This window comes from Homo sapiens, chromosome 1, assembly GCF_000001405.40.
Source record: "Homo sapiens chromosome 1, GRCh38.p14 Primary Assembly".
Lineage (NCBI taxonomy): Eukaryota > Metazoa > Chordata > Mammalia > Primates > Hominidae > Homo > Homo sapiens.
The window spans coordinates 6,063,713-6,078,557 of record NC_000001.11 but is presented as its reverse complement, the minus strand read 5'-3'; the positions used below and the strand labels follow the sequence as shown (position 1 = coordinate 6,078,557).

General features: G+C 55.7%; 1 protein-coding gene across 15 annotated transcripts in view, besides 1 other annotated feature; it reads right to left on the bottom strand.

The window, feature by feature from the left end:
• KCNAB2 (potassium voltage-gated channel subfamily A regulatory beta subunit 2) overlaps positions 1-14,845 on the bottom strand; it is a 108,505-nt gene that overhangs the window by 22,623 nt on the left and 71,037 nt on the right. For all 15 annotated transcript variants that reach the window (XM_047432866.1, XM_047432870.1, XM_047432872.1 and 12 more), the window contains 2 exons: positions 5,760-5,803; positions 4,788-4,825 (listed from right to left, as the gene is read on the bottom strand). In XM_047432866.1, the coding sequence (XP_047288822.1) occupies positions 4,788-4,825; positions 5,760-5,803 (82 nt within the window). The remainder of the gene's footprint in view (positions 1-4,787; positions 4,826-5,759; positions 5,804-14,845) is intronic.
• Positions 3,893-5,092: an enhancer, noted in NCBI's record as "CDK7 strongly-dependent group 2 enhancer chr1:6133526-6134725 (GRCh37/hg19 assembly coordinates)". NCBI's record gives its function as "activates an origin of replication core promoter dependent on BRD2, BRD4, P300/CBP, MED14 and CDK7 cofactors, with strong dependence on CDK7, by STARR-seq in HCT116 cells {active_cell/tissue: HCT116}" and the evidence as "EXISTENCE:reporter gene assay evidence [ECO:0000049][PMID:35650434]".

Sequence of the window (14,845 nt, the reverse complement as noted above, 5' to 3'; positions counted from 1 at the left end):
GGGCTGTGCCTTGGTTGTCCCCTTGGCCCCCGAAGGCTCTTTCTCTGGACCACCACGTGGCGTCCTTGCTCGCTTCTGCTTCCTGACCACCCTGTCGTCAGGACCCCCGCCCCCCTGCCCTCCTTTTTCTACTTTCTTCTCTGCAGTCAACTAAATAATGGTTCTCCAAAGGTATCACGTCCCTGGAACCTGGGAATGTGACCTTAGGTAGAAAGAGGGACTTTGCAGATGGGATTAACGTGAGTACTCTGCAGTGGGGAGAATGTCCTGGCTTAGCTAAGTGGGCCCTCAGTGCCATCACAGGTGACCTTATGAGGACGAGACAGACGGAGACTTGACTGACAGAAGAGGAGGACGGAGAGTATCCACAGGGGCAGAGACTGGGGGATGCGGGCACAGGCCAAGGAAGGCCAGCAGCGCCAGACGCTGAAGAGGCTGGGAAGGGTCCTGGCCTGGAGAAGGGAGCCCGGCCCGGCTGACTCCTGGACTTAGGCCGGGAAAGGTCCTGGCCGGGAGAAGGAAGCCCGGCCCGGCTGACTCCTGGACTTAGGCTCAGGGGTACCGAGTTTGGATCTCTGGACCCCAGAGCTGTGAGAGAATACGTTGCTGCTGTTTTCAGCCGCGCATTGGTGGCTATTTGTTACAGCAGCCACAGGCAGCTCGCACCCTCTCCACAGCATGCTGTTCGACCACTGGAGACGGTGTCTTGCCTGCCTCTTTACCCTGTCGCCCTCTCTAGAAAGACAGTGACTGGGAAGAGGCTGGAAGCAGGCAGGGAGCTGGCGCTAGGCAGGGGCTCCGCAAGCCTGAGGCGGGGCCCCGGATGCTCCTGGCTCTGCTCTGCCCACCGGGAGGCCTCCCACTCCTGCTCATAGACTAAGAACAAAGGGCTCGGCGCTCTCCGCTCCGGAGCACGGTGGCCCTGAACACACCTGGCTCCCTCCTGGGAGGAAAGCCCGGCCAATCACAGAAACCTGTGGTCATCACAGACCCCCGAAGGCGTGCAGACAGCCGGATCAGCAGGGTCCGGCACTGCAGACACCAACCCTAACCTCACCTGTCCCTCAGCAAAAACGAAGCCACCATACAATTCCAGCTACATCCAGGGTGGCGCCTGGGATTGGCAGGACCAGAGGCAGGAAAGAGAGGGAGCGACTCACGGCACTGTGGGGCTCTGCTTTCTCACTATTTTATTTATTTATGTTTTGACGGCTCTGATTTTGCTGTACTTTCTCTTCCAGGTTTTTCTGCCCTTTCCCTAGAAAACTGCAGCTCTACTCCACAGACTGCTGTCTATGCTGGCTGCATTTTCCATTGGCTGTCACGGGCCTTTCCCATGCTGTTCTTCAAAACATGCTTTTCTTTTTTTTTTGAGATGGAGTGTCGCTCTGTCATCCAGGCTGGAGTGCAGTGGTGCGATCATGGCTCACTGCAACCTCCGCCTCCCAGATTCAAGCAATTCTCCTGCCTCAGCCTCCTGAGTAGCTGGGATTACAGGTGCCTGCCACCACGCCCCGCTAATTTTTTTGTATTTTTAGTAGAGATGGGGTTTCACCATATTGGCCAGGCTGGTCTCGAACTCCTATCCTTGTGATCCACCCGCCTCAATCTCCCAAAGTGCTGGGATTACGGGCATGAGCCACCGCCCCTAGACCTAAAACATGACTTCTAAAGCCCTCCGCTCTGTGGCTGCATCCTGGTTCAGTTTACGCAGCCTTTATGTTGTGACTTTTTGGTTCCTTCCAGTATCTGGGTCCCAGACACTGAAGTCAGAAGGAAGCTCAGGAGACATACAGGCCACCTCCCTGTCACCCTCATCTGGGGGGACAAGGAATCTGTCCCTACCCCAGTACGGTTACCCCACAGCTGAGCACTGGCCGCAAGCGTTGAGGCAAAGAGCACCAGGTGGAACCCCCTGTGGCCAGAGGCCAGGTGAGGCCCCTGCACCTGTTTATAGCCAGAGGCTCAGCTTCCCTGAACTGGGAATAGCACCTGCCTCCCTGGGTTGATAGAGGATTAGGTGAGATAATAAGTGTTAGGTTCTCAACCATTACATCTATTAAATTTTTATTGTCCAGCTTGTCTTGAACACATGCTTCTAATGGGGAGTGTGAGGCCACAGAAAGGGCACCTAACAATGGGAGGGCTGGAGACCTGAAACCACCGTGGTGGCTCCGACAGGCATTACGTCATTTTAGGGTTCCTAGCATAGTTTGATCCCTTCATGGGCTCCTGTGAGCACTGGCTGAGAGTGTGATGGTGTCCTACAAACTGTGGACTCTGCCCTGTGCCATGTGAGGGTGGCTGTCATTCCTGCCTCACCAGGTGGTTTGTTCCACCCCTGGGCAAGCTTTCATTTTGTCCCTGGCATGGCATAGAACTGGGCTGAGCAGTTCACACAGCAGCCCTGCAGATAGTGCAGGGTACAGCTGCTGCGGCCCAAAGAACAGGAGACGTCAAGTCTTTTCTGTAAAGGGCCACATAGTAAATGCTTCAGGCACTGTGGGCCAGAGAGTCTCTGTTGCAATTACTCAGCTCTGCCCTTGTGGAGTGAAAGCAGCCACTATGTGTAAATGATGGGCGTGGCTATGTCCTAATAAAACTTTATTTATACAAACAGTGTGCAGAGTTCATAGAGACAGGAAGTAGACTAGAGGTGACCAGGGGATGGGGAGTTGTTGTTTAAGGGTGCAGAGCTCCTGTTTGGGGTGATGAAATATTTTGGAAACAGATATTGGTAAGGGTGGCACAGTATGTGAATGTACTTAATGCCACTGAACTGTAGACTTAAAAATGGTTAAAATGGCAAATTTTATGTTTCATATATGTAATAAAAAACTGAAAAACAAAAAAAGCAGTCCAGGACGGTCCTTGCTTCCCTGCTGGCTCGGACTGAGCCGCAGCACCTGAAGTGCACAAACCCTTTTCATCTGAACCGCAGCCAGGCGGGCCCCCCCTTCTAGATGTATTGATTTCTTTTTTGACACTAACTATAGGATTAATACAAAAATTTGTCTTGCTCCTTTGCTAAGCCATTTTCACCTGCCACAACCATTCAGAACCCTGACACTGCCATCTATTTTATTCTCTGTCCTTCCAGCTTGGTGTCATCTAGAAATGACCTCCAATATCTTCACACATGTCCATCACTGTGTTCCTGATGGAGACACTGCAGAGGCCTGGGCCAGCGGGGCTGCCACTGGGCCATTCATTAATGCTCTAAGGGTATGCCTGGTTTGCTGGTGAAAACGTCATCTCATTGGATGGGTCTAGTCTGTCTGCTTGTTTTTATCTTTCCCACAAGGACATACAGGCCACCCAGCTAATATTGTTTGGAAATGAAGTTATGCCGTTCTACAGAATTCTCCCATCCTGGTTTAGAAACCACATCGAAAGGGAAACGAGGCCAAGTCAGGCAAGGCTGATTCAGATTGAACCATATGGGCCCCAGGGCTCCAACTGAACCAATCTGGTGGGCTGAGGTAAGGCAATTCCTTTTGCCTTAATAACTCCAGACTTCACCCTGAGATAGCGCCTATCCAGCAACTTCAAAGCAAGGGGCAAATCATTCTATAACCAGCTATTGTCTTTTTTTTTTTTTTTCGAGACAGAGTCTTACTCTACGGCCTAGGCTGGAGTGCAGTGATATGATCTCGGCTCACTGCAACCTCCCCCTTCTGGGTTCAAGCAATTCTCCTGCCTCAGCCTCCTGAGTAGCTGGGATTACAGGCGCCCCTACCACGCCCAGCTAATTTTTGTATTTTTAGTAGACATGGGGTTTCACCATGTTGGCCAGGCTGGAACTCCTGACCTCAGGTGATCCGCCCGCCCCAGCCTTCCAAAGTGCTGGGGTTACAGGTGTGAGTCACCGCGCCCGGCCAGCTAGTGTCTTAAAGATAAAAGTGACCTCAAACACAAACTGTACGCATTTAAATTTTGATAGAAGCAAAGCTTTCCCTTGGAAACTGAGCAATCGCAGCTAACAAGGTCTCACATCAATTCGCTGATCAATTTTTAAACGCAACCTTTCTAGTGCTAAGTAGGATAAATGTGAAAACTGCTTCTTGTGCAGATGCCCAGAGCTGTCTGAGCAAATGCCACTGCTCTCATTTCTGAGATGCTGCCTCACTGTCCAGAAGCACACATGTCTGGGCGTGTGCCGTCCCTGTCCTTCCGAGAGACCCAGAGGCGCTGGCGGCATACAAGCTGGCTTTTTGTTAGTGTTCACTTTCTTGTTCCAATTGTGGGGACATGAGCCCCAGCAAATACATCTGACTGCGATCCGCACGGTTCGCGGCAGCTGGGAAATGGACAGTGGATGTTGGGTGAAATGCAGATCTCAGGTTCTTCAGCTTGTGACACTGCAGGGGCTGCATTCCCAATGACCAAGACAGACAGTTACTGGAGCCTCCATGGGGGCAGCTAGGACCTGCATCCGGCTTCAGAATTTGGGAAGCGTGTGCACCCTGAATTCTCCTCGTTAACTGTGGAATGGGGGTCACGCGTGTGGGAAATCTGAGTCCTGGGGAGCTTAAGGGACATGCTGAGGCCCGAGGCATCCACTGCTGGGTGATGGCACCAGACTCGGCATCCCCTCTGGCCATGGCCACCTGGCTCACCTTTCTACTCTCCCCTGGGGCAGGGCGCCCTCACAAAACAGAAAGAGGGAGGGAGGCTGCTGCGCTGGCTCCCGGGAGCACGTGCTCACTGGTCCACGCGGCAGACTTAACCATGTGCTCTGGCGAGCCCGTGCTGGGTTCTGGGGTGCTGGGAGAGCCCCATCTTACCTCATCGGTGATCTGGCCTCCGAAGGTCACCCATGTTCCTGGAAGGAGACACAGGGGCTCAAGTTAGGAACCTGGCAGGAAGCCAGATTATCCCGTCGGTGCTCAGACCTCAGGCTGTAGGGCACAGGGGGCAGCCACAGGTGTCCCTCTGTGCTGCTCTGTGGCCAGGGTGTCCTTAGTGTGTGTGGACAGCTGGCCTTCAGAGAAAGTCCTGCTCTCCTGGGGTCAATAAACTGAGGGGACAAAAGTCTCTAGAGCGGGCTGCTGGCTATGGGTCCAGGAGGTCTGGGGCTTTTGAAATGCTGGTCAGAGCTGTACTGAGGCAGCTCTAGTTCCAAGGACATGCCGCAAGAAATGGCACAAGGGATGCCTCTCTGAAAACACACCAGGTCTGACAGCCGCGTCTGCGTGCTCCTGCTGGGACAGAGCGGGGAGGGCGGTGTCAGGGCAGTGGGTGCTGGTGGGGGGCGGGGTGTGTGTACTGCAGTGGGCGGTGTGTGTGTGGGGGTGTGTGTACTGCATGCAGAGGGGAGGTGGGGACTGCACATTCTGGAAACAGGCCTTGTATCTGACAGGAGAGGAAAAAGGGCCAAATCCAATGGCGCTCCAGGAGGGACTCACGAGCTGAGCCTGCCTTGGAAGGTAAGGTGTCTTCGTTGCACTCCCGGGGCCCTAAGGGCCTCTGATTTTGTGGTGTGGGGTGGGGACCATGTGTGGAGGGGCCCCTAGTATCCGCCTCACCTCCTCTGCTGAGACTGTGTCTCTCTCCCTCTATCCCAGCCCCCCTCCCACCTGCCTCTTTGTTGCCATGGCAACCGAGCCCCCCTGAATCCTGGGCTCTGGGTGCAGCTACTCCCTGGGGAGTGCCAAGGTTTGGGCCACCCTGCCTCCCAAGGGGTGTCCAGTTCAGTCCATGCCCGGCCTCCCCACAGCCTGTTTCCCTGGTGGGACGGAGGGGACCCCCACACTCACCAAGTCCCAGGCAGGAGACCCGCAGGCCAGACTTGCCCAGGTTCCTGAAAAACAAACGCCACGTGAGTTCTCAGCACCCAGGCAGGACCCTGCCAGCCAGGCTCAGTTCCCGCCAGGGCCAGCCCCCCACCCACTCCCCCAACAGTCAATGTGTGTTTGGAGGCTCCGAAAGGCACCGGGGACCTTCAGAGAGGTGCCTCTGCTCACCCACCCCGGGGGTAAAGTGCCAACTGCCCCCGGCCCACACCATGCTGCTGGCACGGGCCCTGCTGGTGCCCAGTGGGGGTCTGCAGAGTGGTCTCAAGGACAGATGGAAATGCACAGGGACGCTGTCTGTTTTATGGCGAAACTGGACTGGTCTCACCCCCATGGCACCATCCATGCGGCGCCCCTTGCAGAGAAGCCCCTTCTTCCTTCCTCTCTAAGGCTGCATTTGTGATTTTGTGTCTCTTCTTCCTGTCTCCAGCGACTGGGGCAGGAGATCGTCCCACTTCACTGGACCACATGGCCTGTGCATCTGTCCCTCGGGGTGCGGGGAGCTCCATGGTAGGGCTGCCAGTTCTCAAGCAAGGCCAGCCCTTCCTTTGTTACAGCCACAGCCAGGCCCAACAGCAGCGGCAGAGCCTGGCAGCGTAGGCCTCCTAACCAAGCACAGCTGCCCGGGCTCCTTCCCGGGGCCACTGAGGCACCTGCCCACTGTGGTGCATCCCAGGGTCCACAGGAACAGGCCTTGGGCCATCATGACTGTCCTTAGGAGGTGAAGGAGGGTGGCAGCCCTCTGCTGAGGACCGGCATGCCCGTATGTCCTGGCACAGGTTGCCTAGGAGCCTGCAGGGTTGCAGCAGGCCAGGCAGTCCCCAGGCATCCTGTCCCCGGATCCTCCCGGGAGCCCTACGCGGCAGGAGGAGCCCTACGCGGCAGGAGGAGCCCACGCGGCAGGAGGTGCCCTCGCGGCAGGAGGTGCCCTATGCGGCAGGAGGTGCCCTCGCGGCAGGAGGTGCCCTATGTGGCAGGAGGAGCCCACGCGGCAGGAGGAGCCCACGCGGCAGGAGGGAGCCCTCGCCGCAGGAGTCCTACGCAGCAGAGCCCTATGCGGCGGCAGGAGTCCTACGCAGCAGAGCCCTACGCGGTGGCAGGAGTCCTAAGCGGCAGGTGCCCTACGCAGCAGGCGCCTTGCTTGTCGTGACATCGATTCCCACGTTACGATACCTGCCCAGCACGCGGAGGAGCTGGATCCCACCCAGGCAGTTGGCTGCCAGCTCACGTTCCCCACCATGGTGGCATGCATCCCACACCCCAGCCTGTTAAGCAGGGCGTGATCTGCCCAGATGGTGAGGTTGACAAGTGGCCGGGTGGATCTCACAGCTGCAGCCAGGCCTTGACCCATCTGGGGTCAGATTCCACTTCCCTTGTGGAATCCAGCTGCCAGCATCTGGTCAAGGGGCAGCTGGTTCTAGGCGGTGGGGAGTGAGAGCCATGAGTTACCAGCGGGTGAGGCCCAGCCTCCTGGCCCAAGGGCCCTGCATTTCCCTGGGGCCATGACACTTCCAACTTCGGAGGATGCGATGTCCTCAGTTTATCCTCTTTCCTGTCCAAGCCTGGCCCCTGGGAAGGCGGCATGGGGCTCAAGCCTCATTCTGAACCCCCGACTTCTGACACGAGCCCACTCTGTCCCTCTCAGCCTCGGTTTCCCTGGTTATAAGGCTCCTGGACTCCTAACTCATGAGTGGATATAATATTTGTAAGCAGCTTGAAAACAGTTGAACGTGTCACCAAACTGAAGGTACTTTAAAATTGCCTAGGTTTATTTTTCAATTTCCTATTAAAACCACTCCAGCTGCCAGCAATATTGCTCCTGTAGGCAGAGCTGGGATTTTCCCTAAAGGAGAACATAAGAAAAGCTGAGTTTTCTTTCAGGAAAGGGGCGCACCGGGTGGCGGCTATGGGCTGAGGCTCTGAAGCCAGAGCCCAAATCCTGGTACAACTTTCCTGGCTGGAGGACACCGGGCATTTTATGGAGTGGCCCGATGCCTCAGTGTTCTCATCTGCAGAATGGGCTCACGAGGCTGCCTTTCTCACGGTGGCTGCCACGAGGACAGAAGAAGATCCATGAGGATAGAAGGCCACAGGACACTGACTCACATGTGTCTCATTTCCCAAAGAGAGCAGGAGGGTAACCTTTTCTTTATTCAAAAACAATGGACAAATCAAATAAGCTTTAACTATTACCATGTTAAAAAGGAACTGAAGTTTCCTTTTTCCTCCTTATACATCAGTGAAATACTCTTGATAGTACCCTCTGAATTGCTGGCATGTTCCAACCCAGAATAACTCGTGTCTGTGGCTGCTGGGGAGAACAGCCCAACTGTACCACTAATACATTCCACATAAGCCTGGTCAGTTTAGAAGTTTAGGTAATTTCCCCCATGCTGGCTAGAAAGTAACTGTGGTAAGAAATTATAAATGCTTAGTAGGAGTCCAATAATGAAGCAAAGGGCTGGAGGTTCTGATCAGTGCCTCTCAGCTGCTTTGGGGTCATAACCCCTTTGCAAAAACAGATAAAGCCTGGAAATATGCCTAGATACGAATGCCCTCAGAACGAACCTTGCTTGCAATGTCTGGGTGTTCACAGAGCCCTGGACCCCACTGGTCTAGATATGTCTGGGCATCGAGAAGGGAGGCCTGGCCCCCACCTCTGCAAAACCACCTCCACGAGTGACTGTGGGGAACAGTTGCTTGAAAAGGCTCTGCTGAAGGCCAGGTCAGGGCTGAAGAGAAGAGGCACCCCTTGGTCACCAGTTTGGGGAGGGCTGGCAAAAGGTGCCCCTGCCCCTGATTCCATATCTGTTCCTGGTCTGAGTGTTGGGAAATGGGCCCACTTCCCCGAGTGGGCTCTGGGTTCAGCCGCTCTTCCACCCACCACCCACAGGACTAATTTAACAAAACTAGGGCACCACGTGATGCCGCAATTACCCTGCTCAACTTGTTTCCCTGTGAAAATGATGGTATTGGTTCTGCCATCCGCTGCCAGGCCTCGGGAGAAGGGATGCGAAGGGACAGGGCGCCTCCAGGCTGAACGCTTTGTAAGCATGGCTGCTGCGTGTGGGGTGGGGAGCACACGTCTCAGCCGGGTCTGGATGGGGCTGCTCCCTGCTGTACTTGAAACTTCCCAGACACAGAGATCATTTTCTACCGATTTCTTCCCCATCGTTGAAACCTGACATCCTAATGAAGCAGGTGGTCAACATCTCGAAACCCAAATACTGTCGGTCTTCATTAATTTGCCTCATGTCTCTCCTGGGGTCTGGACTCCTGGAGTGAGGACTCACAGACATAACCTCTGCCGGAGGGGAGCACTGATGCCCATCGTGGAGCCCCCGGCTGCTGCACACCCCTAAAAACTGCACTTCAGACTTGGGAAGGGCCGGAGCTGGAAGGCTCCGGGAAATGACAGGTCATTTTACAAAGAGGAGTTTGGGGCCTTTCATTGGAGCCACCTGGGCAGAGGACAAAACTGTGATCAGGTGAAGGGCAAGCACCGTGGCCTTGGCTAGCTGGTTGCGGAGGAAGGCACATGGGGTGGCTCCTGTTAGTGCCCTGCTCGCCTGTCTGCTCCGTGCAGTGATGATGTTTGCACGCCTGCCCTGCTCCGAGATTCCAGGCTCCCTAAGGACAGGCTGGGCTTCCAGTCTTTGTCTTCTAATTGGAGCTGGCAGTGGCAGGGTCCCAGGGAGTGCTTGTTTGGGACGATGTTGGGTAGTAATTCAGGGGTGAGAAGCCCAGGCCCTGGGGTCAGACTCTCGGGACCAAGTGCTGGCCCCTCCCTTACTTATCAGGCTTGGCCTCCCGCCATCCTACACTGAGCACGCCTTAGGCCCTTGGGCAAGAATGTGGCGCCTGGTACTGGCCATGCACCTTTAGTTTCCTAGTACCTGTGGACTGTGCGTGTCACTGGACAGCTGTGCCTGGAGCACACCACTGGGAAGGGCCAGCTTCCCAGGGAGGAGGCCAGAGTCACAGGGAGGCTGGGATCAGGCTCCCCCTCAGTCCCTGCTGCCCCCCTCTTGCACCCTGGCTGTGGCCCTGGGACAGTCCCTGTGCAGCAACTCATGACGCAGGTACCGCATGAGTGGGATGGGAGAGGCCCGGGGCGGGGGTGCCCGATGGCACAGGCTTTGGATTCTAAGGCCCATCTCAGCCCCTGTGAAACTGCACCTCATCCTACAGGGCTATGAACCTACCCTCCCGCCGTGACAGCAGCAAGGAAAGCTCCCAGGCCTGGCCAGGTATAAGGCGGTGTTTGCAACTCCACTGGAGAGATGGGGGTCCCTCAGTCAGAGAGTGCTAGGGCTGGGATTTGAACTCTGGTCTGCAGACTGCAAACCCGCCCTCAGTCAGAGAGTGCCAGGGCTGGGATTTGAACTCTGGTCCACAGACTGCAAACCTGCCAGCCTGATGAACACCCCCCTTCACTGCCCTGTCTTGCCCTCCCTGCCTCCAGCACGCACGTGTGTGCATGCACACATAAGCACACACATGGGCGTGGTGAGCATTCACCCTCTGAGAGCCACTCCTCAATGAGTTTTAGGAGGGAAACAGTGTTAACAGCCACACTTTCCAATTACATAGTGCCTTATGTTTAGAAATAGTCCCGCTTTTAACTCCTTTGAGATCCTAGGACTGACATAAAAGTTGCAGAAGGCAATAGGTATCTGAACCAAAAAATATACATATACATGTTCGGTTTACTCCTAGCTTTATTTTTTTTGAGACAGGCTCTCATTCTGTCACCCAGGCTGGAGTGCTGTGGCGTGATCTTGGTTCACTGCAACCTCTGCCTCCTGAGTTCAAGTAATTCTCCCACCTCAGCCTCCCAAGTAGTTGGGACTACAGGTGCACACCACCATGCCCAGCTAATTTTTGTATTTTTTGGTAGAGACAGGGTTTCATTATGTTGGCCAGGCTGGTCTTGATCTCCTGAGCTCAAGTGATCCACCCTCCTCAGTCTCCCAAAGTGCTGGGATCACAGGCATGAGCCACCTCTCCTGGCTCTAATTTTAGCTTTTGATCCCTACTTAACAAAAGATGTAAACCCCAGAGCTTCTAGAACAGAGAATTCCATTCTGGACTGTCATTAAGCTTAGAGGATTGGACACTTTCAGCCCAGAGGTTCATTAAAGCATGTCTCACCCTCCCAGGACGCAGGGAAGGAAGAGACACGAATGTGGATGCAGGACCCCCAGAGTCATCCCAGAATTCACCTCCAGCAAGGGTTGGCTTAGATGACACGGTTTTCACACGAGGCCCAACTCTCAGGCATTGGTTTTGTAGAGGTTTAAGCCACACAGCTCAGGCATCAGGATGGACTCACAATGCTTTTCAGGTTGGCACCCATACCAGCTATAAACCCAGAAGATTCCCAAATGCAATGAGAACAGTTTGTGGCTGTTTCTGAGGCTGGTGGCCTGCACTCCAGTTTCAGGTCACTGAAAAGCAGAGTTGTCCCCAGTTCGGTTCCTGTTTTGGGAAAACTTTCCCAGGAAACCTGGGAACCAGAGACCTAATTTAGCTTTTCCAGCTTCTGTAGACCACGTGTTGTGGAGACTTCCTTTATGCCTGGAGGATGGTTCTGGACGCAATCAAGGCTCTGGACTCAGAGACTTACATGGGGAGTGAGGAAGGCCGGCCCCCAGAAGGGTGCCCCAGAACCCTGCTCCCGGGACCCTTTGTACAAAGCTGGGACCCTCCCTTTTCCATCCTGGGCACATTCACCCAGCCTTGGAGAAAGGCCCCGGCAGGGAAGAGGAGGGAGGCCCTGCTCCTGACATGAGTGGTCGGCATCCTCCCCACATACAAGTCACAGCACCGGGAGCCAGATGGGGGCTGAGCCCGGGTGGAGGGAAGCAAGGTGCCTGGGCTGACCATCGGGAAACTCCAGATGCGGCCTGGCTGCCTGTGCCTGCTGGAGCAAGAGTCCCGCCTGCTAGAGGAATTGGGCCCTGGGCCTGGCTCAGGTGGAGGAGGGAAGATTCATTCCATCACAGGGTTCACCCCACAGTCCCTCACTATCAAACGGATGTTTGTCATGGTGGCCTGGCTGGAAAGATATCAGACCACCCCCAGGGCATCTTGTGGAGCCTGTGTGCCCAGGGGAGGGCAGGAGGATGTTGGGGGGGCCCTGTGGCCCATGCCTCAGGGTTCCCCAGGAAAAGGGAGCATTGGTGGCTTGGCTATTGTAAACGACCCTCAGAAAGAAAACAGAGGCAGAAGGAAGGAAGACGGCGCCCTCACCATCTCCCCCTGAAACTGGGAAGAAAGAAACTTAGCACTGACCGGATTCTCCACGCTGTTTCTCATCATCTACCAAGCACTAAGCACAGCCCCTCCCGGCCCTCAGCACAAACTGCCCAAGTCTGACAAATGGGGATTTGCAGATTTTATGCGCTCTCGAAAGTGAGGAGGTGGGGAGTTGGGGAGGCCGGGAGGTCAGCCCCCACCCTGCAAAGCTGTGTGCCCCCGTACCTATATTTCATCCTTTGCTGCTTCACGCTGGTGTCACCGGCACACGGGAGGCTCTGCACCGACAGCTGTCCCAGGCTCCGGGCCACCATGGCCACGGCGCGGAAGCGGCCTCGGGAGCCCAGGCTGGGACTGCTGGCCGCCGGTCGGCCCAGCCGATCCTCAGGGCCCCGGCCCTTGAGGCTGTGCTCCGAGCAAACGAAGGACACCTGCATGCTGAGGCCGGGTGCTCAGATCCTGGCTGCGTCCCCTGTCCCCTTGGGCTCAGGAGCCATCTGTCCCCAAGAAACTCTTCTCCCCCGACCAGGACGAGACTTTATCCAGAAGCCAAGGAAGCTGCAGGCATTCCTTGAGGAGTGAGGATTTCCGAAGGCAACGGTGGGGAAGAAGGCTGCACAGCTCTGAGGGAGGGAGTCACATTTCCAGGCCCGAGGTACAGAAGACCTGCTGGAAGCGCGGCTGGAGGTTGGGGGGTGCGCATTTTCTCCTCCCCTCACATCTCTCGTCTCTGCAGGTCCTTCCTCTGTCCCCACCCTCAACCAGCCCTGGCTGCCCAAGTCCTCAGCCCAACAGTCTCCAAAAGTGTTGGGCAGGGCTGGGCTGTGAGTTACTCCTGATGATGAGTGACGGGTGATGAGCACACCCGCCTTCCTTGGACTGGAGAAGGGAGGGCTCTCTCTGGTGTCACTTGTGGAGCCGGAGGTGATGGCCTGGGGGGCTGCGCAGGGCCGCTGTGACTGCTCTTCTGGGGCAGCAGCTCAGGGGGTCTTGGGGAGCAGCTGCTTCTCGGGGCTTCTTGAGTCTTTCTGAGGGGGCCTGGGATCCAGCTCCTGGCTCTGCGCGCTGTGGGCGGCTGAGGCTCCCACCATGTCAATGAGGCGACCAGGGAGAGGCGCGGGCAGCGTCTGGCCATTCATTATTAATGAAGCAGGATGCACAAGCCGCCTGCCTTGGCTGGTCCCCTGAGGCCATCGCTGGCTGCTCCGGGCTGACAGCTGCTGAGCCAGGACTGGCCTGAGGCCTGGGCAGGCGCTGCAGCCAGGGTGGACTCTGCGGGCTGGATGTCTGAGCTTGTAGGCAGCCAGCTCCAAGCAAGGCAGTGCTTGCTCCGGTCACAGCCTCCCTGGCGCATGCCCAGCGGCACCTGCTTGGGGTTCTCCCTCCGGAGAGTGGGGTATCCGCTGGGGGATTGGCACATGGAGAAGCAACATCACCAGAAATGTGAAGAAGCCACTGCGTCTTGATGGTTATGACACAGATGGCCCAAGGAAGGAAACGCGGGGGTCAAAGGGACAGAGAGATTCCAACACTCCCAGTAAAACTTAGGTTACAGCAGACGCTCAATACATACTCTGCAATCAGTGAGTGAATGGCTGAATGAAGCCCCTGCCCTACTTTACTTCATCCTCTTCAGCATCCGGAGGGGCTGGCTCTGCCCTCTGATCCCAAGTGTCCCCCTCACACCCTGCAGGTGGACCCTGGTCAGAGCTGCCTTCTGGGCCCCCTCTTGTCCTGCCAGGAGGTACTAAGGGCACTGGAAGGTGGTGGGGTGACGGGGGATAGGCAACCCTATGCACAGCCCACCCCTCCTTGAGGCTGGACCCCAGGATTCAAAGGCCACAGCCCTGGCCTCCCGGGAGCTCATGGGCTGCTGAAGAGGCACAGATGGCAACCATTCCACCTTTGGCCCCTACCTAGGGCTCAGGTTAAGTCTTTTGCCCCCTACCCTTCTCCCTACTTGGAGGCTCTTTATAGGGTGTGACCAGCAGCAAATCTTAGCATCCCTACTTCCCCTAAATGTGCAAAGCCAGGGCCAAGATGGAATTTGCTCAGACTATCTAACAGAATTTTTCAACAGCCCCCTTCCCTATTTATAAAAAGGATCACATTGATTTGTTCAAAGAGCCTCTGGGTGCCTACTGTGTATCACAAGGCACCTGCTCTCATGGCGCTCACCGTCTAGGACAGGGCTGTTCAACATCTGATCATGTCAGGGGAACTTATTACAAAGGCAGGGTCCTGGGCATCCCCCTGACCTACGGAATCAGTGGCTCTGAGGCCCAGCCCAGAAGGCGGTGTTCAGCCCGGAAGGCGGCGTTTCTACCAAGAGCTTCAAGTGGTGCTACGCATGCTGGCCTAGTGAGACGCAGAAATCCTCTACCTCTTCCTTACGCATTCTCTGCACTCTGGTAAACCGTCGGATCCCACAAAGGCTGGCAACATCGGATCCCACAATGGCTGGCATCTTACTCTTCCCCAGGGGTGTTCTTACCCCAGTGGTGCACGTTAAGCAGCACAGAGTTCAGGGAGACTCACGAGACTTTCAGTCACCAAGTGTAAAATGTCATCGGCCTCACCACATGACCAGGCAATCCCCCCGCTAGCTATGTCCTCAAATAACTGAAAACATACGCCCACACAAAAACTTCAACACAAATGTCCACAGCAGCCTTATTCACAATAGCCCCAAACTGGAAACAACCCAAACACCCATCAACCGACAAATGGAGAAACAGGATGTAGCCCTCTCCAGAAAATGAAGTGTTATTCAGCCATAAAAAGAAGGA